Below are 21,615 nucleotides of genomic sequence, written 5' to 3' on the forward strand. Positions count from 1 at the left end.
GAAGCTGCAGACAACAAGCCTGGGAATGTTGAACGTCACTATAGGTTCTCATTTCCAGCATCACAGTGTAGAGAGGAGTGGCCTTGGGCTGAGACCCAGAATCTGACCCCACAGCAGCAGAGATGGATATTGAGAGCACTGCGCTGGGGGAGGAAAGAAAAACACAAGATGATTCATGAGATAGGTGTGCAACATTATCTTTATGCAATTAAAAATATATGTACACACACAAGAAGACCCCACACATGGGGTGTGATGGTTAATACTGAGTGTCGACTTGATTGGATTGAAGGATGCAATATTGATCCTGGGTGTGTCTGTGAGGGTGTTGCCAAAGGAGATTAACATTTGAGTCAGTGGGCTAGGGAAGGCAGTCACCTTAGTCAGGTGGACACCATCTAATCAGCTGCCAGTGAATATAAAGCAGGCAGAAAAACGTGAAGAGATGGAACGGGCCTAGCCTCCCAGCCTACATCTTTCTCCCATGCTGGATTCTTCCTGCCCTCAAACATCAGACTCCAAGTTCTTCAGTTTAGGGACCCGGACTGGCTCTCCTTGCTTCTCAGCTTGCAGACAGCCTATTGTGGAATCTTGTGATTGTGTAATCTTGTGATTGTGTAAATTAATACTTAATAAACTCCTCTTTATCTATCATCTATCTATCAATCTATCGATCAATCTATCTACCATCTACTATCTATCTATCTATCTATCTTTCTATCTACCTATCATCTATCTGTCTAATTAGTTCTGTCCCTCTAGGAGAACCCTGACTAATACATGGGACAATGACACACACAAACCAGTCTACACAATAAAAGCCTTAGAGTGAATTCCTAATGCTGGAGGAGGGGGAAAGGTAGGGGTGTGGGGATACAAAGGGGCATAAATAAGCAAGCACCAATAACAAGAGGGGAGCCTTGTGTGGACAGTAATCCCAATGTGCCGAGAACCTCTGCCCAGAGGATTAGAAACCAACCACACCAGCCATGACATGACACTGGTGCACACCCACCAGAAGGACTCTGATCCTAAAGGTGGGAAAGCCAAGCTCAGGAGAAGAGGTGGAATAACTGGAAGTCTCTGTGCTGCTGGTGGGGATGCAGACTCATACAGCCATTTGAGAAATTGAATTTGGCTGATTGTCCTAAAGCCGAAAAATTGCACATCTAGGAATTCCAAGGTGTATCCCAACGGATCCTATGTTACCCAAAGACACGACCAGGAATGTGCATAGCAGCACTAGTTGTAACAGGTGCTGACTGGGAATAGCTCCATCACCCCTCAGAAGTAGAATGCGTAAATCATTTGTAGTATATTTACACAACATGATACTACACAGGGACAACCTACAACTACATACAATAGAGATGAATCTCAACAATTAATGTGGAGGAAAAGGAGCCAGGCACACAGAGTACATACTGTATGTTTCCATTGATAGAAAATACAAAAGCAGAGAAAATTGATCTGTGTTTGTTAAAAGTCAGATAGTGCTCACTCTTGGTGGAGGGGTGGTTAGAAATGCAAAGGGCACCCAAGGGTGCGGCTGGGGGCGGCTGGGAGTGCTGGAGGTGCTCTGCATCTCCATCTAGGTGCTGGTTACATGGGTGTGTTCACTTCGTGAAAATCCATCAGGCCCTTCATTTCTGTTAACTTTCAAATAAAAAATGAAAAAAGAAAGAAAGAAAAGCAATTTAAATTGTAGTAAGGAGACTGGGAGCGGTGGCTCATCCCAGCACTTTGGGAGGCCGAGGTGGGTGGATCACTTGAGGTCAGGAGTTCAGGACCAGCCTGGCCAACATGGTGAAACCCCATTTCTACTAAAAATACAAAAATTAGCCAGGCATGGTGGCGTGGCCCGTAATACCAGCTACTTAGGAGGCTGAGGTAGGAGAATCACTTGAACCCGGGGGGTGGAGGTTGCAGTGAGCTGAGATTATGCCACTGCACTCCAGCCTGGGTGACAGGGCAAGACTCTGTCTCAAAAAAAAAAAAATTGTAGTGAGGCATTAAGAGACATACAAATAGTAGGACAGAAGGCAGAGGAAATTTTGCTTATTGACAAAATCCCAACACTTCGGGAGGCCAAGGCAGGTGGATCACAAGGTCAAGAGATCGAGACCATCCTGGCCAACATGGTGAAACCCTGTTTCTACTAAAAATACAAAAATTAGCTGGGCGTGGTGGCACACACCTGTAGTCCCAGCTACTCGGGAGGCTGAGGCAGGAGAATCGCTTGAACCCAGGAGGTGGAGGTTGCAGTGAGCCGAGATCATGCCACTGCAATCCAGCCTGGTGACAGAACGAGACTCCATCTCAAAAATAAAAATAAAAATAAAATAAACAGACTGAGGGCTTACCACATATGGGGTCTGGGGTCAGAAGACAGAGATAGACCGACTTGATTCCTGTTTGTGGTAATGGACACAATGAACAGAAATACACATGTATGCTCGTGCACATGCATGCTCACACATATGTGTGTACACACACACGTGTGTGCACTTGGCGACTTTCTATTCTAACTTTTCTGCACCCTGAATTTCTCATGTCGCAGCATCTGTTGCTGATTACTTTATATTCATACATTAGTTCTTCTCCTGACTTCCCATAGCTCAGGTCAAAAGCTGTGGAGTCATCTCCAGTGCCTGCTGTTCTTCACGTCCCACACCCGGTGCTTTAGGAGGCATCTATCTCGAACCGCCCACTCCCACCCTCCTTGCGCCCCTCAGCCTCTCACTTGCGTGGTCACAGTGGGCTCTCCGCTGGATTCCCAGTACTCACTCCAGACTCCCTATATTGCTTTGCCCATACAGCCACTCAAATGAGCCTTCTGAGGTTTAAATTGGATCATGTGGTGTTGCTGCTTCTCAGTGCCTTTAGACTAAAGTCCAGTCCTCTCCCAACCACCCTGCTGCTCCCCTATTTCTCTGCACCTCCCTTTCTCCCCTCCAGACACACCACCCTCTCCTCTCAAGAGCTTGTGGCTGGCTAGGCGTTCTCTCGGGAGCATCCTTCCCCACCTCTTTGCAGTCATCACTCTTTCCAATTGTTCACACCTCTGCCTAAATATCTCCTCAGAGGACCCTTCCCTGACCCTCCCATTCAAAAATGGCACCTGACTTCTAGCGTGCTTGAGTTTCATCAAAGCCCTTCTCTGGGCCGGGCGCGGTGGTTCACACCTGTAATCCTAGCACTTTGGGAGGCCAAAGTGGGTGGATCACTTAAGGTCAGGAGTTTGAGACCAGCCTGGCCAACATGGTGAAACCCTGTCTCTACTAAAAATAAAAAAATTAGCTGGGCGTGGTGGCATGTGTCTGTAATCCCAGCTACTCAGGAGGCTGAGGCAGGAGAATCGCTTGAACCTGGGAGGCAGAGGTTGCAGTGAGCTGAGATTGCACCATTGCACTCCAGCCTGGGGGACAAGAGCGAAACTCCATTTGAAAAAAAAAAAAGCCCTTCTCTGATGTTGTCTATCTATCTATCTATCTATCTATCTGTCTATCTATCTATCTATTATCTATCTATCTATCTATCTATCTATCTATCTATCTATCGTCTATTTATAGCTATCATCTATTTATCTGTCATCTATTATCTATCATGTATATATGTACAATGTATGTACATATCTATCTATTTATATATTTATTTATTTATTTTTTGAGATGGAGTTTCACTCTTGTCGCCCAGGCTGGAGTGCAGTGGCACCATCTCAGCTCACTGCAACCTCCGCCTCCAGGGTTCAAGTGATTCTCCTACCTCAGCCTCTGATGTAGCTGGGATTACAGGCATGTGCCACCATGCCCAGCTTATTTTTTATTTTTAGTAGAGACGGGGTTTCTCCATGTTGGTCAGGCTGGTCTTGAACTCCCGACCTCAGGTGATCCACTCGCCTCGGCCTCCCAAAGTGCTGGGATTACAGGCGTGAGCCACTGTGCCCAGCTGTATCTATTAATCTGTCTAATCTATTATCTGTCTTTTATTTACCTTTCTCTTTCTCATCTATCTTTATCTCTGTCAACCATCTGTCTATTATACATTTACTAATATTTCTTTTTCTTTAGATCTCTTGATTCTTATTTTGATTTTATTTTTGTAAGAAGACTTCACATAAGATCTCTCTTAACAGATTTCTAGTTGACAATACAGTATTGCCAACTACAGGCACAATGTCTTGGAGCAGATCTCTAGAACTTATTCATGTGGCACAGATGAAACTTCATATCCATTGAGTAGCAACCTCCCATTTTCTCCTCCCCCAGCCTCTGGCAACCACCATTCTACTCTATTCCTGTGAGTTTGACTACTTTAGACACCTCCTGTAAGTGGAATCATGCAGTATTTGTCCTCCTGCACCTGGTTTATTCCACTGAGCATGATATCCTCAAGGTTCATTTGTGTTGTCACAAATGGCAAGATTTCCCTCTTTTGTAAGGCTGGATAACATTCCATTGTATGTGTGTACCACATGTTTTATCCATTCATCTGTCGATGGACATGATGGTTATGTTTCCATCTTGGCTATTGTGAATAATGCTGCAGGGGACATGGGACTGCAGATATCTTTCTGAGATCCTGATCTCAATTCTTTTGGATAAATACCAAGAAGTAGGATTGCTGGATCATATGAGAGTTCTATTTTTAATTTTTTGAGGAATTGTTCCATATTGTTTTCCATAGCAGCTGCATCATTTTGCATTGCCACCAACTGGGTACAAGGGTTCCAATTATTCCACATCCTCTCTAACACTTGTATTTTAATTTTAATTTTTTTAAATTTTTGAGACAGAGTCCTTCTCTGTCTTGCCCAGGCTGGAGTGCAGTGGCATGATCTTGGCTCACTGCAGCCTCTGCCTCCCAGATTCAAGTGATTCTCCTGTCTCAGCCTCCTGAGCAGCTGGGATTACAGGTGCGGGACACCACACCTGGCTAATTTTGTATTTTTAGTAGAGAGAGGGTTTCACCACATTGGCCAGGCTGTTCTTGAGCTTCTGAACTCATGTGATCCACCCACCTTGGTCTCCCAAAGTGCTGAGATTACAGGCATGAGCCACCGTGCCCAGCCAACACTTGTATTTTTGTTGTTGTTAATAATAGCCATTCTAACAAGTGTGAGGTGATATCTCATTGTGGTTTTGATTTGCATTTCCCTGATAATTAGTGATGTTGAAAATCTTTTCATATACCTGTTTGCCATTTGTATGTTTTTGGAGAAGTGCCTATTCAAGTCCTAATCCCATTTTTAATTGAGTTATTAATTTTTTGTTTTGCTTTTTCTATTGAGTTTTATGAATTCCTATATGCTTTGGAAATCAGCCTCTTATCAGATATACAGTTTACAGATATTTTCTCCCATTGCATAGGTTGCCTTTTCACTCTGTTGATTGTTTTCTTTGCTGTGTTGAAGCTTTTTAGTTTGATGTAATCCCACTTGTCTATTTTTGCCTTAGTTATCTGTGCTTTTAGTGCCAGATCCATTAAATCATTGCCAAGGCCAATGTCATGAAGATTTCCCTTATGTTTTCTTTTCTTTTTTTTTTTGAGATGGAGTCTTGGTCTGTTACTCAGGCTGGAGTGCAGTGGCATGAACTCAGCTCATGACAACATGACAACCTCTGCCTTCCGCGTTCAAGCAATTCTCCTGCCTCAGCCTCCTGAGTAGCTGGGACTGCAGGCACGCACCACCACACCTGGCTAATTTTTATATTTTTAGTAGAGACAGGGTTTCACCATGTTGACCAGGCTGGTCTCAAACTCCTGACCTCAGGTGATCCACCCAGCTCGGCCTCCGAAAGTTCTGGGATTACAGGCATGAGCCACTGCGCCTGGCCGATCCCTTATGTTTTCTTTTAGGAGTTTTACAGTTTCAGGTCTTATATTTAAATCTTTAATCCATTTTGAGTTGATTTTTGTGTATGGTGTAGACAAAGGACACATTTCATTCTTTTGCATGTTTCATTCTTTTCTGGTTTTCCCAACACCACTTACTGAACTTCTTTCATCAAAGTTTTGTAGTTTTCAGTGTTCAAGTCTTTCATCTTTTTAGTTACGTTTATTCCTAAGTATTTTATTTCTTTTGATGCTATTGAAAATGGTATATTATCTATCTTTCTATCTAGCCTATTATCTATCTATCATCTATCTATCTATCTATCTAATCTAGCTCTATCATTTCTAATCTATCATCTTTCTATTATCTATCATCTATCTATCTATCTATCTATCTATCTATCTATCTATCTATCTATCATCTAATATGTTTTCTTTCTCCACAGACAGACTGTGACTTCTTTGAGAGCAGAAATTCCATCTGCCTGGTTGATAGAACTGGTACATAGTAGATTCTCTATAACTATTTCCTGACTTATTGAATTCTTTTTTTTCTCTGGGGGAGTCTTGCTCTGTTGCCCAGGCTGGAGTGCAATGACGTAACCTAGGTTCACTGCAACCTCTGCCTCCCAGGTTCAATCCATTCTCCGGCCTCAACCTCCTGAGTAGCTGGGATTACAGGTGCCTGCCACCATCCCCAGCTAATTTTTGTATTTTTAGTACAGACAGGGTTTCACCATGTTGGCCAGCCTTGTCTCCAACTCTTGACTTCGTGATTTGCCCGCCTCAGCCTCCCAAAGTGCTGGGATTACAGGCGTGAGCCACCGCGCCTGGGCTTGAATTCTTTTTAATGTCTATGCAGCATGTTAAAGTGGGTATACTATAATTTATTCTCTACAGTCCTTGGTTGATAGAATTGATGCCAGTCTTTAACTTTTACTTCAATAAATATCCTTGTATATATGCCAACCAGGACTTTTGTTGGACTACAATTAACTTCAAGATGAATTGGTGAAAGAGTAAAAAAATGATTCATCTCTGTTTTTCTAAACAGTGTGCCAGTTGTCCCATTCTGACTTAGGGAATAATCTGTCTTTCTCCCGCTAATAAAATAAGACACTAATATGTAAGGCACTAATCTCTCACTTATACCACAAGGGCCTGGAGCTGTGACTTAAGTACTTGGGCCTTTCTTCTCTGTGTGGGGAGCAGCCCAGACTCCAGGCCAACCCCTAGGCTCTCTGCATCGGGTTGCTCTCCACTCCCTACAGCAGGACCAAGACCAGCCTGAGTTGAAGGAGGTACTGATGCTCAGAATTCAGGGGGGCCCTCACTTGGGTGATGCTGGGTGCCAGTCCCTCCTTAAATTTTGCAACCTAGGTACGTGACTTGCCTCACCCAGTCCCAACCCTACCCCTAAGGTTGTGTTCTTACTGTGTGACCACAGATGGTTACTACCGTGGGTGGAGCCACGCTGGGCTAGGGGATACCCAGGGGAAGTTACTTGCTTTTAAGTTAGAGATGATCAAGTACACAGAATTCCCTATAGCCCAGCACTGCAGCCACAGGCACATGCAACTATCTGAGCACAAGAAATATGGCTAGTGCAACTAACTGCATCTTTAACAATGTCTTATTTTAATTAATTTAAATTTAAATTTAAATGCCCACATGTGGCTAGTGGCTACTGAATGGGATGGCACAGGGGGATCCACACTGAGAACTTCAGCTTTCCTCTCTCTGGCCAAGACTTGGTCACATGGCTGTACTTGAGTAGAGAGAGCCCGGGGGTGTCGTCCCTGGCCAGACAGCCATGGACCCAGCTCCGCACTGGGGAGGGTGAGAGGCAGGCTTGGTGCCACTGAAAAGACTGAGGGGACACTGGGCCCCCCAGGGGATCAGCACTGAGGGCCACAACCTCAAACTCTAAGAGTCACCTGCATCTGGCATTATCTTTCCATATTTATGTTTATACTTGGGCCTCTTTCTGGTCTTTCCAAGTAGTCCGTCAATCTGTTTGTCCTATCAAGCTATTTGATTTTCTGTATCATTATAATGTTTTATCATCTGGTAGAGCAAATCTTCCCTGTTTTCTCTTCTTTTGCAGAACTTCCTTGGGTATTCTCACATGTTTAGTTTTTCTGCAATAAGCTAAATGTCAGTATGTAGTTCAGAAGAGAATCCTGTTGTTTTTACATGAATCCACATTTATTTCACGTTCATTTATAATATGGTTTGATGAGAACCCACTTGGTTACATTATGGAGGCTTTGATCCAGCAAGAAGATCTGAGATATCTTTTATTCAAATTTTGTTTTACATCTCTTGATGAATTTTTTTTTTTCTTGGACAACGCCTCACTCTCACCCAGGCTGGAGTACAGTGGCACAATCATGGCTCACTGCAGCCTCAACCTCTCAGGCTCAAGCGATATTTCCACTTCAGCCTCCTGAGTAGCTGGGAATACAGGCATGCACCGCCACACCAGGATAATTTTTTTGTATTTTTTTTGTAGAGACTGGGTTTCGCCATGTTGCCCAGGCTGGTCTCGTACTCCTGGTCTCAAATGGTCCTCCTGCCTTGGCCTCCCAAAATATTGGGATTACAGGCGTAAGCCACCATGCCTGGCCCACTTGCTGGAGTTTTAATGTTTTTTCCATACAAGTCTGCATGGCTTGTAACTTTTCACATATGTTGTTGCTGTTGCCATTGTAAAGATAATCCTTTCTTCCTTTTTTTTCTTCCTTCAAACTTTATATATAGAAAAGAAGTTCTGTGCAGTATGTAGTTTCTTGCCAGCAACCTTATTGTTTTTAAGGCATTTCAGTTGTATCTGGATTTCCCAAGCACATGGAGGTGCCATCTTTCAATTTTGCCTTCCTTAGTATAATTTTTCATCTCTTCGGGTTTTCTCTTGCCTTAAATTGACATTTAATAATGGCAGAGACATAATGAAAATATGTCTGATGTTTTGATATCAAGTTTAATACTTATTTTTGGTTTAAGATATGCTTTGTATCATAATATGCACTTATTGTTATTAAGTGTTTTAAAATTTTAATCAGGAATTCTGAATTTTTAAAGTGCCATTTTAGCTGTATGCAGACAATTATGTGGTTTTTTCTTCTTTGACTTATTAATATAGTGAATTGTGTTAATAGATTCTTAATTTGAATTTTCCTTGCATTCCTGTGGGATAAATTCTATTTGGCCATGATTTATTATTATTTTAATATGTTTTAGAATTAGATTTGCTAATATTTTATTTCGGTTATTTGCAGAGATTGTTTTTTGTATGCTATTTCTTCTGCACTTTTTGCCCCCAGATCTTGCCATTCCCAGCAATGTGCTGTCTTTTCTGCAGACCTCTGCAGGGCGCCTCATGTCTGCAAACCTCCATGCCCATTCAGGGCTTTGTCCACCCACCTGCGTAGTTTGCAGTGTACTCGGTGGTTTTTCATAGGGTGTCACTCTTGGTTTTGCTTGTTTTTATTTTTTTTTAATTAATTAATTTTTTTATTTTTATTTTTATTTTTGAGACAGAGTCTGGCTCTGTTGTCCAGGCTGGAGTGCAGGGGTGTGATCTCAGCCCACTGCAATATCTGCCTCCCAGGTTCAAGTGATTCTCTTGCCTCAGCCTCCCAAAAAGCTGGGATTACAGGCACGTGCCACCATGTCCGGCTAATTTTGGCATTTTCGTAGAGATGAGGTTTCACCATGTTGGCCAGGCTGATCTCAAATTCCAGACCTCAAGCGATCCCCATGCCTTGGCCTCCCAAAGTGCTGGGATTACAGGCGTGAGCCACCATGCCTGGCAGGTTTTACTTGTTTTTAATTTTCAAAGATGTACTTTCCTTTTTGGTGAATAGAATATGGAGATGTACTAGGTTTGAATCCTTTATTTAAATGCAAACTCCTGGGCAAGTTTGTTTACCTCATCATGCCTCAGTTTCCTCATTTGTAAAATGGAGATAATGATCACACCTATCTCATAAGGCTGTTGGGGGAATAGATGGATTGTGAATATATGCAGACTTCTTAAAAGGGCATCCAGCACGCAGCAAACATTATGTAAATGCTTGGTTCATTTGGTTAGCTTCAGAGAATCTCAGATTTAACAGGAAGAGCCCAATACTGGTTTTTGTTTTGTTTTGTTTTTTGAGATGGAGTCTCATTCTGTCGCCCAGGCCAGAGTGCAGTGGCGGGATCTTGGCTCACTGAAACTTCCGCCTCCTGGGTTCAAACGATTCTTCTCTGTCAGCCTCCTGAGTAGCTGGGATTACAGGAGTGCACCACCATGCCTGGCTAATTTTTGTATTTTCAGTAGAGACAGGGTTTCACCATGTTGGCCAGGCTGGTCTCAAACTCCTGACCTCAGGTGATCCACCCGAGTTGGCCTCCCAAAGTGCTGGGATTACAGGTGTGAGCCACCGGTGCCAGGTCCCCAATACTGTTTTGATGCTTTCTTTTCTTTTTTTTTTTTCAGACGGAGTCTCGCTCTGTTGCCCAGGCTGGAGTGCAGTGGCGTGATCTTAGCTCACTGCAACCTTTGCCTCCTGGGTTCAAGTGATTCTCTAGCCTTAGCCTCCTGAGCATCTGGGACTACAGGTGCGTGCCACCATGCCAGGCTAATTTTTTTTGTATTTTTAGTAGAGACAGGGTTTCACCATGTTGTCCAGGCTGATCTCGAACTCCTGACCTTCAGGTGATCCACTTGCCTCGACCTTCCAAGGTGCTGGGATTACATGTGTGAGCCACAGCTCCTGGCCCTGTTTTGATGCTTTCAAATGATCAGAGCTTGGAGCTATAGGTGCTTTGGAAGATGCCTCCACTGTGCAGGAAGAATGTTGAGGCCTGTACATGGGAAAATCTTAAATACCTTATTAATCTTAAAGCTAGCTGGCAGAATCAGAACTGATGTTTTATTTTCCTGTTGAAATTCTCTTTCTCTCCTACCACAATTTGGCTCTGGTAACTGTGCTGCGCGTGTGGAGTGGGCAGGGAATCTTGTGATTCCACCGTTGCTATGGCAAGAGCTCCTGTTTCCAAGCAAGGGTTGAATTAAACTAAATGGCAAGTTCCTGTGTCAGTAGGTTTAGTCCAGTCCTGTGTAATTCACCAAGAGCTTTGCTCCGTCAGGAGGAGGGGCCCAGTCCCACCATGAATCCTTGAACACCTGGGGGCATCTCACTGGGCAAGACGGGGGTTCAGGCCAGTCCTCCTCAGAATTGTGCCTTGCCCATTTAACGTCTCCACCGGAGACCTTCAGCCAGGAGAGCCAGGACCACATCTATTCAGAGAAACATTTTCACCATCAGAGGGCACGCAGGGAGGGGGTGGCCACACAGGGCCCATGTTTATCTCTTCCTTGAAGACTTGAGTGGCTTCTGGTCCCCAAACAAATGGAGAAGGTGAATAGGTGTCCCAAGGCTGAGGAGCACGTGCCCAGAGAAGGCGGTTTCTCCCTCCCTCAGTCCCCCATAGCCCACCTCCAGACAGAATGCATCTGATTCCTGTTGGCGTGTCCCTAAATAGCTGACCCCAAGTTCCGTTATAATAGCACTAGAACCTTTAACACTTTTGTTAGTGTTGTTTCTGGGGCGTGCACTCATTCATTCACTCGATTGTATTACTGGGGGCTTTCTCTATGCCAGCCCTTGTGCCTGCCCTTGGGACAAACATGTTCTGACTCTGTGGATGGGTGGAGTAGATCCTAGGTGGGGACAGCTCCTAGGGCTCTCCTGTGAACCTTTCTTCGGCCTCCCACCTATAGTAGGAAACGGGCCTGAAATGGGCCATGGGGGAGTATTCACAGAGCAGAAATCAGACAACACTTCTAAGTAGCGGCTCCTCCTGCAGCTGGGTGTTAAACATGCACAGTACACCCTGCAGGTAGTCACACATGTGACGAATGACGGGCCTTTGGAGACGCCCTCAGACTGGGTGAGCCGTGCCCCTACCAGGCGACATGCTCAGCAGCAGAAGCTCCTGCCGACCCCGGCAAAACACAGGGCGATCGGCCTGTGCTGCGACCCAGGTGTTGGGAGGTGAAGGGGGATCATGAGTATCCCTCTGAGGTGAGGCTGAGCCTCGCTTTAATGACGGACACCTTAGCTCTCCATCCCCCATGTCACCCTAAGAGTATCTGAGTTAGGAGAAGGAGGTCCGGCACTTTGACAGCACCCTGGATATTGTTCTTTAATCCTCCTGGTGAAGAGGCGCCCAAGACAGAGATGGATCTAACTCACGTGTGGCCGGGATGTGCTCACAGGCTGGTGCCATAAGCCTCAGTCTGTGTCCCACAAGAGGCCATTGTGCAGAGACTTTGCTGCCAGCACTGCAGCCTCTGTTCTGTACTGTTGAAATTAGCACCCTGTGTGGGCCTGGGTAATCTTGCTCAATCCCATTAATGTGTCCAATTAATATTGCCTGAAGGGCCGATTTACCTGTGGGCTAGGGAGTTCCCACCTGAGGGGCAATTACTAGCTTGCTATTGAACATTTATTGAAATTGTTCCTATGATTGATTGAAGGACATAAAATAGTCAATTTTTTTTTTTTTGAGACAAGGTCTTGCTCTGTCACCAAGGCTGGAGTGCAGTGGTAAGATCTCAGCTCATTGCAGCCTCTACCTCCTGGGTTCAGGCAGTCCTCCTACCTCAGCCTCCCGGAGAGCTGGGACTACAGGTATGCACCACCATGCTCAGCTAATTTTTGTATTTTTTGTAGAGAAGGCGTTTTGCCATGTTGTCCAGGTTGGTTTCGAACTCCTGGGCTCAAGTGATCCCCCTGCCTCAGCCTTCCAAAGTGCTGCGATTACACGCATGAGCCACTGTGCCTGGCCATACAGTAGTCTTGAAACCTGAAATACTCATACTATCTTGGGTGATATTGGAGAAATGCTCTAACAGAGATTGGTGCCCCAAAGAATTCCATAATAAAATGGACATGTTTTATATAGGATCATCACACTAGGGGATTGAAGAGAGTTACTCATTGCACTCACGAGCAAGTGGTTGAATGCATGGAAATGGTAGACTGGTGGTTGCCAAGAGCAGGAGGAGGGGAAATGGGGCACGGTTTTTAGTGGGTATGAAAATGTTCTGGAGATGGGTTGCCCAACAGTGCAGATATACTTACCACTGCTGAACTGTACACTAAAATGGTTAGGATGGTGTTATGTTATGAGCATTTTGCCACAATTTTAAAAAAGATCTGTATAGACAGTTCTCCAAAGAAAATACACAAGTGGTCAAAAAGTATGTGAAGAAGTGCTAAACGTTAGTAGTTATCAAATGAATGCAAATCAAAGGCACCGTGAGATACCACCTCCCTGCCACTAGCATGGATAGAATGAGAAAGACTGTTAATAACAAGTATTGGTGAGGATGTGGAGCCTCTGGAACATCTGTATTCCTGCTGGGATTGTAACATGGTGCAGCCTCTTTGTAAAACAGTTTAGTGGTTTCTTTAAAAAGTTAAATGTTTTCATATGGTCTAGCAATTCCACTCATATATATATACACCCAAGAGAACTGAAAACATATGCCCCAGAAAGGCATATACACAAATGTTCATAGCAGTATTATTCACCATTGTCAAACACTGGAAGCAACCCATATGTCTGTCAATTGATGAATGGATACACAAATGTGGTACCATACTGTAAACCAAAGAGTATCCGATACAAGTCTTGATCAATTTAGGAAGTTTATTTTGCCAAGGTTAAGGACATGCCTGTGACACAGCCTCAGGAGGTCCCGATGACATATGCCCAAGGTGGTCAGGGCACAGCTTAGTTTTATACATTTTAGGGAGACATGAGACATCAATCAATATATGTAAGATGTACATTGGTTTGGTCCAGAAAGGAGGGACAACTCGAAGCAAGGAGGGGGCTTCCAAGTCATAGGTAGATAAGAGACAAATGATTGCATTCTTTTGAGTTTCTGATTAGTTGTTCCAAAGGAAGCAATTAGATATGCATTTATGTCAGTGTGCAGAGAGATGATGTTGAGCTCTGTCTGTCCTTTGTCCACAGGAATTTCAGTAAGAAATAGGGCAGTGGAGATTTTGAGGTGGGGACTTCCTTATACAGCATATTTGGGGCTGGATCCTTAGGAAGAGGATTTTTAGCTGATCTGAATAGAGGGAAGGAGCCAGCTTGTTGGGGAGAGGAATGTTTTCCAGACTCGAATGGATTTTTGCGAAGACTGGAAACTTGCAGACGGCCAGGGGCGGGGGATCCTGGCAGGGGCCAGGTGGTCTGAGCACATGTGTTTGCAGATGTAGGGCCTGTCCCCACCATCCTGGGGGCATAACTCTAAGGACATTGCTGTTTTTCCAAAGGGCACACGTTGCATAACTTACTTTAAATAATTTCTTTTTGTAGGACTCTTTGATTTTGCAACTGCATTTTTAAGCTTAAGAGGAGGTCATTAAAAGATCTGGCACTAAGCTCACCCTCCCCTTCTTATTCCTTTGAAGCCATTGCTGTGAATTACGTGAGGGAAAGATATTGAAGAGGAGTTGGACACTCCGAGAGTGCAGCTGTTCTCCCCCCGCACCATCCGTGTCCTGCATTCTGCGAGTCTGTGCTCATTAACAATGTGCTGTGACCATGTGACTCAGCAATCCTGCTGCTGGGTATATACCCGAAAGAAAGGAAAAGGAAGCCAGTATATTGAAGAGGTATCTGCACCCCCATGTTTATTGCAGCACTGTTCACAACAGCCAAGATTTGGAAGCAACCTAAGTGTCCATCAACAGATGAATGGATAAAGAAAACGTGGTACATATACACAATGGAGTACTCTTCAGCCATTAAAAAAATGAGATTCTGTCATTTGCAATAATATAGATGGAAAAGGAGGCCCTTATGTGAAGTGAAATAAGCCAGGCACAGAAAGACAAACATCACATGTTCTCACTTATTTGTGGGATCTAATGATCAAAACAATTGAACTCTTGGACATAGAGAGTAGAAGGTTGGTTACCAGAAGCTGGAAAGGAAAGTGGGGTTGGGAGGAAGGTGGGAATGGTTAATAGGTACAAAAAAATACAAAGAATAAATAAGACCTAATATTTGATAGCACAACAGTGTGACTACTGTCAATAATCATTTAATTGTACATTTAAAAATAACTATAATTGCATTGTTTGTAACACAAAAGATAAATGCTTGAGGGGATGAATACTCCGATTCTTCATTATGTGATTATTATGCATTGCATGCCTGTATCAAAACATCTCATGTACCCCATAAATATACACACCTACTATGTACCCACAAAAATTAAAAATAAAAAAATTAGGCCAGGCACGGTGGCTCATACCTGTAATCCCAGCACTTTGGGAGACTGAGGCAGGTGAATCACGAGGTCAGGAGTTCGAGATCAGCCTGGCCAACATGGTGAAATCCCGTCTCTACTAAAAAATACAAAAGATTAGTTGGGTGTGGTGGTGGGCACCTGTAATCCCAGCTACTTGGGAGGCTGAAGCAGGAGAATTGCTTGAGCCCAGGAGACAGAGGTTACAGTGAGCCGAGATTGTGCCACTGCACTCCAGCCTGGGCGATGGAGCGAGACTCCGTCTCAAAAAGAAAACAAAACAAACAAACAAACAAACAAAATATTGAAAACCACAAACAAAAACCCAATGCGCCTGACTCTCCCGACATGTGAACCCACAGCGATGGACCTAGACTTCTCAAGGTTTCTCGACTCCTTTTATACCTGGTTCAACAGGTGGCTGCTTCTTTCTCACGTTGGGGACTCACACTTATGTGGTGGCCCTAGACCCCCAGCTCCCACGTGGGCCAGGTTTCCTCGTGATGTCCAAGGCCTCTTGAATTCTCCCCGTGCAGGGTGAGCAAAGACCTTGTCTGCTGAAGATAAAGTCTCCCAGGGGTGCTTGCTGAAGGAGGGAGAGAGACTTCCAGTTTGCTAGCAGGTGACAAGGGAGACATGTCTGCTCTCCTGAGGGGAGAAGGGGAAGAGGGAGAATGGCCAATGGAGGTGCGGGAGGGGCAGCTATTCCTCGGGGCCCACAAGCCTAGAAGGACAACTTGTGTCTTCTTGGCTGGGACTGCTCCCTTCTCCACCAGCCCCTCAAAGGGAAAGGGCAGAGCTTGTTTTCCTGGGACTATGGAGTAGACTACAGGCAGCCCGTAGCAGGGAGGTCGGCCCTGCTTTCCTCTGGGTTCTCTGGGACGTAAGAGCCTGAGCACCAGACACAGCCCCTGCCATGTTGCTGCCTGAGTGTCTCCATGAAGTGCTTCTTCTCGGCCATGCTTAAGGGGCTCCAACACTGTGTTCCCTGCAGCCTTATCCCCAACTGGGGTGAGCCACCACCCATAGAGTGGTAGGTAGGGGGGGTCCCAGCTCCCAACTCCCAAGCCCCAGGCTACTGCTTATGGCTGCCCTCAAGGTAGAGGGTGAGGGAGGGTCCTTGCGAGGTGTCCTGGCCATGAGGAGCAGAGAGGAAGCAGGGGAGTGGGGTGACCGTGCTGAAACAGGTTGAAGCACACACAGCTGCCGTCCAGAGAGGGAGGTCTGTCAGAGCCCCAGACAAGTGAGGGTTAAAAGTGCATGTATTTCTGAGCAATTCTTAGCATTAGGAAGAGGAATTAGCTCCCTGATTCCTTTCCTGGATGCTTATTTCTACTGCTCATGGATGGGGTGTGTGTGTTTGTGACTGGGCGGGGGGGGCGGCATGAGACCATCAGGTGTTTGTGATGCACCCCCGGGCAGGGGTGAGAACAGCCCTGCACAGACAATGGACACGGTGGCCTCTGTTCCAGGTGAGCATGTCTACGGTCCTAAGAGAACTGCAGGTGCCAGCTCAGGCTGCCTCACATGATACCACAGGCTGGGGGCTCAAATGGCAGACATTCATTCTCTCACTGTTCTGAAGGCTGAAGATCTAGGTGCTGTCAAATCTGGTTTCTGATGAAGGCCTGCTTCCTGGCTTGTGGACACTGTGTCCTCACATGGCCTTTCCTCTGTGCTTATGTGGAGAGAGAAAGAGAGAGAGAGAGAGAGAGAGAAGAGAGCGAGCGAGCGCAGCACCGTGCATCTGTTCCTCTTCTTCTAAGGATGCATCGTCATATTGAATCAGGGACTTACTTATGACCTCATTTCAAAAGTGTGAGTCTCTAATCCAATATGTCCTTCCAAGTGCCATTTATAAGCCATATCGGGATTTAGGGCATCAACATATGAACTACGGGCACATGATCCTGTCCATAACAAGAATCCTGGGTGGTTGGGAGTCATCAGTGCCTAGAAACCCTGGGTCCAGCGGTGGGTCTGGCAGCAAGAGCAGTGTCCTGCTGTGGGACCCGCCCCTAGGCGCAGGCCCCTGCCGTTATATTCAGTCCTCATGGCACTCTGTGTCCAGTGTCTTCACGGTTGAAGTGGATCCATGGAGAAATTGGGAAGACTTCACGTGAAATGACTGAGAATTTGGGAAATGTCGCTATGAAAACAAGTTAAGAGTGGGGTGGTAGAGGGCACCCCTGGCAATGTCCTCAAGTATACAAAGTGCAGGCGCTGTTAATCTCCAAGAGAAAATGGAGTTCCATCACAACCAAAATAACTGGACGCAGGATAAGAGACACCTGTCCTCAAGGCGAGGGTTCCCGGACCCCAGGTGGGCTGCGCTGGACCCCAGGTGGAGACGGGCACAGCGGCTCCCAGGGGTACAAATCTTCCTTGCCTGAAGCAGTCCCTGCCGGTCCTGGAGTGGTCCGTGACACCTGGTCAGGATCTTTGCAGTTGGACAAATGTGTGAATTTGGATACAAGCAATGCAGAAAAACAGGTATCTACTGATCTGGCTTCTTTCTTTCATTTTAGTAATAAAATTTATTTGGTAATCAGTTACTTATCAATTACAGGACATTTGGGAAATAAACATAATCTGCCACCCCGCCACTCAGGGTTGGCTGTTGCCGCTGGCTGTGTATTTTCTTTTCCCTCCGGTTGGATTTCAGGTTGGGAAGTCCGGTCCGGCTGGTCAGCCAGGAGCCGCCGGCCCGGCCTACCAACTGCTCCACACTGCCCCCTCGTGGTCATCTGCTAGGCAGCAGGCTCCGACCTCCGGAAGGCTGGGCGCTCAGCCCCATCTCCTGACTTCCTTAGGGCACAGGAACTGGTGGAGCTCAGCCTCGACTGGGGCTCAGACATTGTCCACAGGCCTTTCTGAGCAACCTGGACTCCATACAGGGAACTGATTCACGGGGAAAGGGCTGGCCACGTTCAAGGATGCCCAGGCCATCTGGGGAGCAGTGGATGGAGCAGGGGACCTTGAAGTTGGAGAAGTAGGCGCTGGTGGGCGGCCTACATCTTTGTCTATGTGACAGCCACTCTGCTCCCCGCCCAGGAACTTGCAAAGGATGAACTGGACATGGGGATCACAGGAAAGTCTCGATTTCTTGCTGATTAAGTGGGTGGGTTGTCAGAACACCAAAATATGGGGGCACGCTGGCCAATGTAAAACGTTTGTCCTCCCAGAGGCACACTGGTGGCCTCTCTGCCCTTTCCTCCTGTCTTCACTACCCCACTGATGCCGCCTTTCATAACCCGAGACTCTGACACTGCAGCATGTGGTTTGGCTGATCTTGACTTTCTCAGCAGGAGATGGAACTCAGCTAAACATGGCTCTCTTGGTTGCGGGAGGCCCCTGCAATCCGGAATGCCTGAAGGACGGGGGGCTTCCTGACCTCTTCTAGTTACAGGACCCACGGGGTGGAGTCAGGTGTGGCCTGACTAGGGATTGGGTGCTGTGGCAGGACTCATTTCTGCAGCTTCAGGGCTGGCTTCTTGCTGGGACAGACTCCCTCCTGGCAGCAGCTGGTCACAGAGGTAGCTTTGGTCCCCATTGAGCTTATTCAAGTCCAGTGGAGGTGGGGCTGGTTGTGACAGCCTCCTGATGCTTAAGCCAAACGCTCAGAATTAAGTCTACTTCCTGCTGTCACATGCCCTCTGTGGAGTGTCACCAGGGCCAAGGAGACTGAATATGCTGCTGGGTAGGCTTGGGCCACACACCTCTTTTCTAGGGCTGGAGTTAGCAGCTCCTTCCCCAGAGTCTTATGACTGCGAGTCAAGGGAAAAATAAACTCCGCAATGAAAACCCGGGGTGAGAGAAGGGGGTGAGTGGGTTATGCAGGGTGGCCCCAAACAAATGTCCACCATATGGCTATCTCTTAACCTTCTGAGGGCTGGTAGCCAAATGAATTAAAAAATGATGGGAGGGCGCGGTGGCTCACGCCTGTAATCCCAGCAATTTTGGAGGCTGAGGAGGGTGGATCACGAGGTCAGGAGATCGAGACCCTCCTGACTAACACGGTGAAATCCTATCTCTACTAAAAAAAATAATAATGCAAAAAAATTAGCCGGGTGTGGTGGCACACGCCTGTAGTCCTAGCTACTCAGGAGGCTGAGGCAGGAGAATCGCTTGAACTGGGAGGCAGAGGTTGCAGTGAGCCAAGATCGCGCCATTGCACGCTAGCCTGGGTGACAGAGCAAGACTCCATCTCAAAAAAAAAAAATTCTTTTTTTTTTTTTTTTTGAGATGGAGTTTCACTCTTGTTGCCCAGGCTGGAGTACAGTGGTGAAATCTCAGCTCACTACAACTTCTACTTCCTGGGTTCAAGTGATTCTTCTGCCTCAGCCTCCCAAGTAGCTGGGATTACAGGCACCAGCCACCAGGCCTGGCTAATTTTTTGTATTTTTAGTAGAGATGGGATTTCACCATGTTGGCCAGGCTGGTGTCGAACTCCTGACCTCAGGTGATCCACCTGCCTCGGTCTTCCAAAGTGCTAGGATTACCTTGCCTGGCCAAAATTGATCATTTCTTTCCCACTAAATTTAAAGAACATAGATGTCAGCCAACAGTGGTGGGAGCTTCTCTCTTTTTTTTTCTCTTCTTGTTAAATTTTAAAGAGATTTTATTCTTTACTTTTTAAACTTGATTTTGAAATAAGTTGGAACTTAAAGTTGCAAAAACAGTACAAAAATTTTCTGTATGCCTTACCCCAGTTTCCCCAGTGTTTACACCTCACATAATTATGTTAAGATAGTCAATCCCAGGGACTTAGCATTGATGCAGTACTGTTAACGAATCCACCCATGCTCTTCAGATTTCATCCATGGCCCCACTGATGTCTTTCTCTGATCCAGGACCCAGTCCAATATCTCATGCTGTATTTAAGTCATCAAATGTCCTTGGTCTCTTTTAGTCTGGAATGGTTCCACAACTTTTCTTTGTCTCTAATGACCTTCAGACTTTTTTTAAAGAGTACTGGCCATGATTTTGTGGCACGTTCCTCCTGATTAAATGTAGCTTATGCATTATTTTTTGCAAGAATATCATAAGAGTGACGTGGTATCCTCCTCAGTGTGTGGTATCAGAGGGCACATAAGGCCAGTATGTGGCATGACTGATGATGCTAACCCGGCTCACCTGGTGAAGGTGCTGTGTGCAGCTTTCTCCTCGGGGCAGTTGCTATTTTTCCCTATGTAATTAATCTGTATCTCCATACCGGCCTTTTCATGCACTGACTCACAGTGTCTGCCAAGTTAAGTCTTTTAGCTGCTGTCCCAGCCACTGCCTTGGAAGGAGCTTCTGTCTGCAGCTACCCACTGCAAGAAATGGGCGAAGCCTATTTGGAGCTTCACTGAAACCAAGAGGACAAAGCTGGCTGGGGGTCCACAAGGAGTTCCTCATCAATGACCTCCAACACCCAGTGTGTCCAAAGACAAAGGCAATGCTACCACTTTTGGGGGGAGTTTGGCAATAGTGAGCATGAGTAATTTTAAATGAAGCAACCACTTTTTCTTTTTTTTTTTTGAGATGGAGTTTCGCTCTTGTTGCCCAGGCTGCAGGAGTGCAATGGCGTGATCTCAGCTCACCACAACCTCTGCCTCGTAGGTTCAAGCGATTCTCCCGCCTCAGCCGCCTCAGCCTCCCGAGTAGCTGCAATTACAGGCATGCGCCTGCATGTGCCACCATGCCTGGCTAATTTTGTATTTTTAGTGGAGACGGGGTTTCTCCATGTTCGTCAGGCTGGTCTCAAACACCCGACCTCAGGTGATCCGCCCACCTCGGCCTCCCAAAGTGTTGGGATTACAGGCGTGAGCCACTGCACCCGGCTGCAACCACTTTCTTAACCCATTTATTTGTGACTGTGTTGTTTCCAGATCAGTAAGAACATATTGTGGAATGGACTTTGCTGCACATAAGTACTTGCTGATGTCTATGCTTTTCTCTACAGTTGAGAAGGTTCTGTTTTTCAAGGTGAGCCTAACCATGGGCAAGATGACCACATTTGTGGCCGGTTCTGGTGGCTGCAGCCCATGGAGAGGAGTGGTTTTGGCACATCTCCTTATGGACTTCGGCTTCCTCTCCTGTCACCACTCCCCACCCCAGAGCTCATTCGGGGTTCTCATTCACTACTTCTGTCATTCCTCACCTGGCTTCTGGAAGAATATTTGAGTTGCAGGAGGTTTTGCTACTCTCTAGTCCTATATTTGTACAAAGAAATGGAATTTTGTTTGGGAAGGGGAGGATGTTCTTCATTAGAAAAGCAGTCTAGACCTGGGTGCAGTGGCTCACGCCTGTAATCCCAGCACTTTGTGAGGCCGAGGTGGGCGGATCACGAGGTCAGACCATCCTGGCTAACACGGTGAAACCCTGTCTCTGCTAAAAATACAAAAAATTAGCTGGGCATGGTGGCGGGCGCCTGTAGTCCCAGCTACTCGGGAGGCTGAGGCAGGAGA

The 21,615-nt window shown here is 46.1% G+C and overlaps 1 protein-coding gene across 3 annotated transcripts in view, besides 1 other annotated feature; it reads left to right on the top strand.

Moving 5' to 3' along the window:
* NXNL2 (nucleoredoxin like 2) overlaps positions 1-21,615 on the top strand; it is a 49,333-nt gene that overhangs the window by 25,588 nt on the left and 2,130 nt on the right. Inside the window, exons 2-3 of one of the 3 annotated variants that reach the window (NM_145283.3) lie at positions 10,322-10,443; positions 14,322-15,028. The exons of 1 other annotated variant lie outside the window; for it this stretch is intronic. In NM_145283.3, coding sequence (NP_660326.2) covers positions 10,322-10,427 — 106 coding nt within the window. In that variant the 3' untranslated portion in view covers positions 10,428-10,443; positions 14,322-15,028. Of the gene's footprint in view, positions 1-10,321; positions 10,444-14,321; positions 15,155-21,615 lie in introns of those variants that run through there. One more of the 3 variants, XM_005251727.4, reaches the window with a different exon arrangement.
* Positions 6,996-7,085: an enhancer, noted in NCBI's record as "active region_28525". NCBI's record gives its function as "activates an Ori minimal core promoter by ATAC-STARR-seq in GM12878 lymphoblastoid cells {active_cell/tissue: GM12878}" and the evidence as "EXISTENCE:reporter gene assay evidence [ECO:0000049][PMID:35858748]".

The sequence above is a fragment of the Homo sapiens genome, chromosome 9, assembly GCF_000001405.40.
Source record: "Homo sapiens chromosome 9, GRCh38.p14 Primary Assembly".
NCBI lineage: Eukaryota > Metazoa > Chordata > Mammalia > Primates > Hominidae > Homo > Homo sapiens.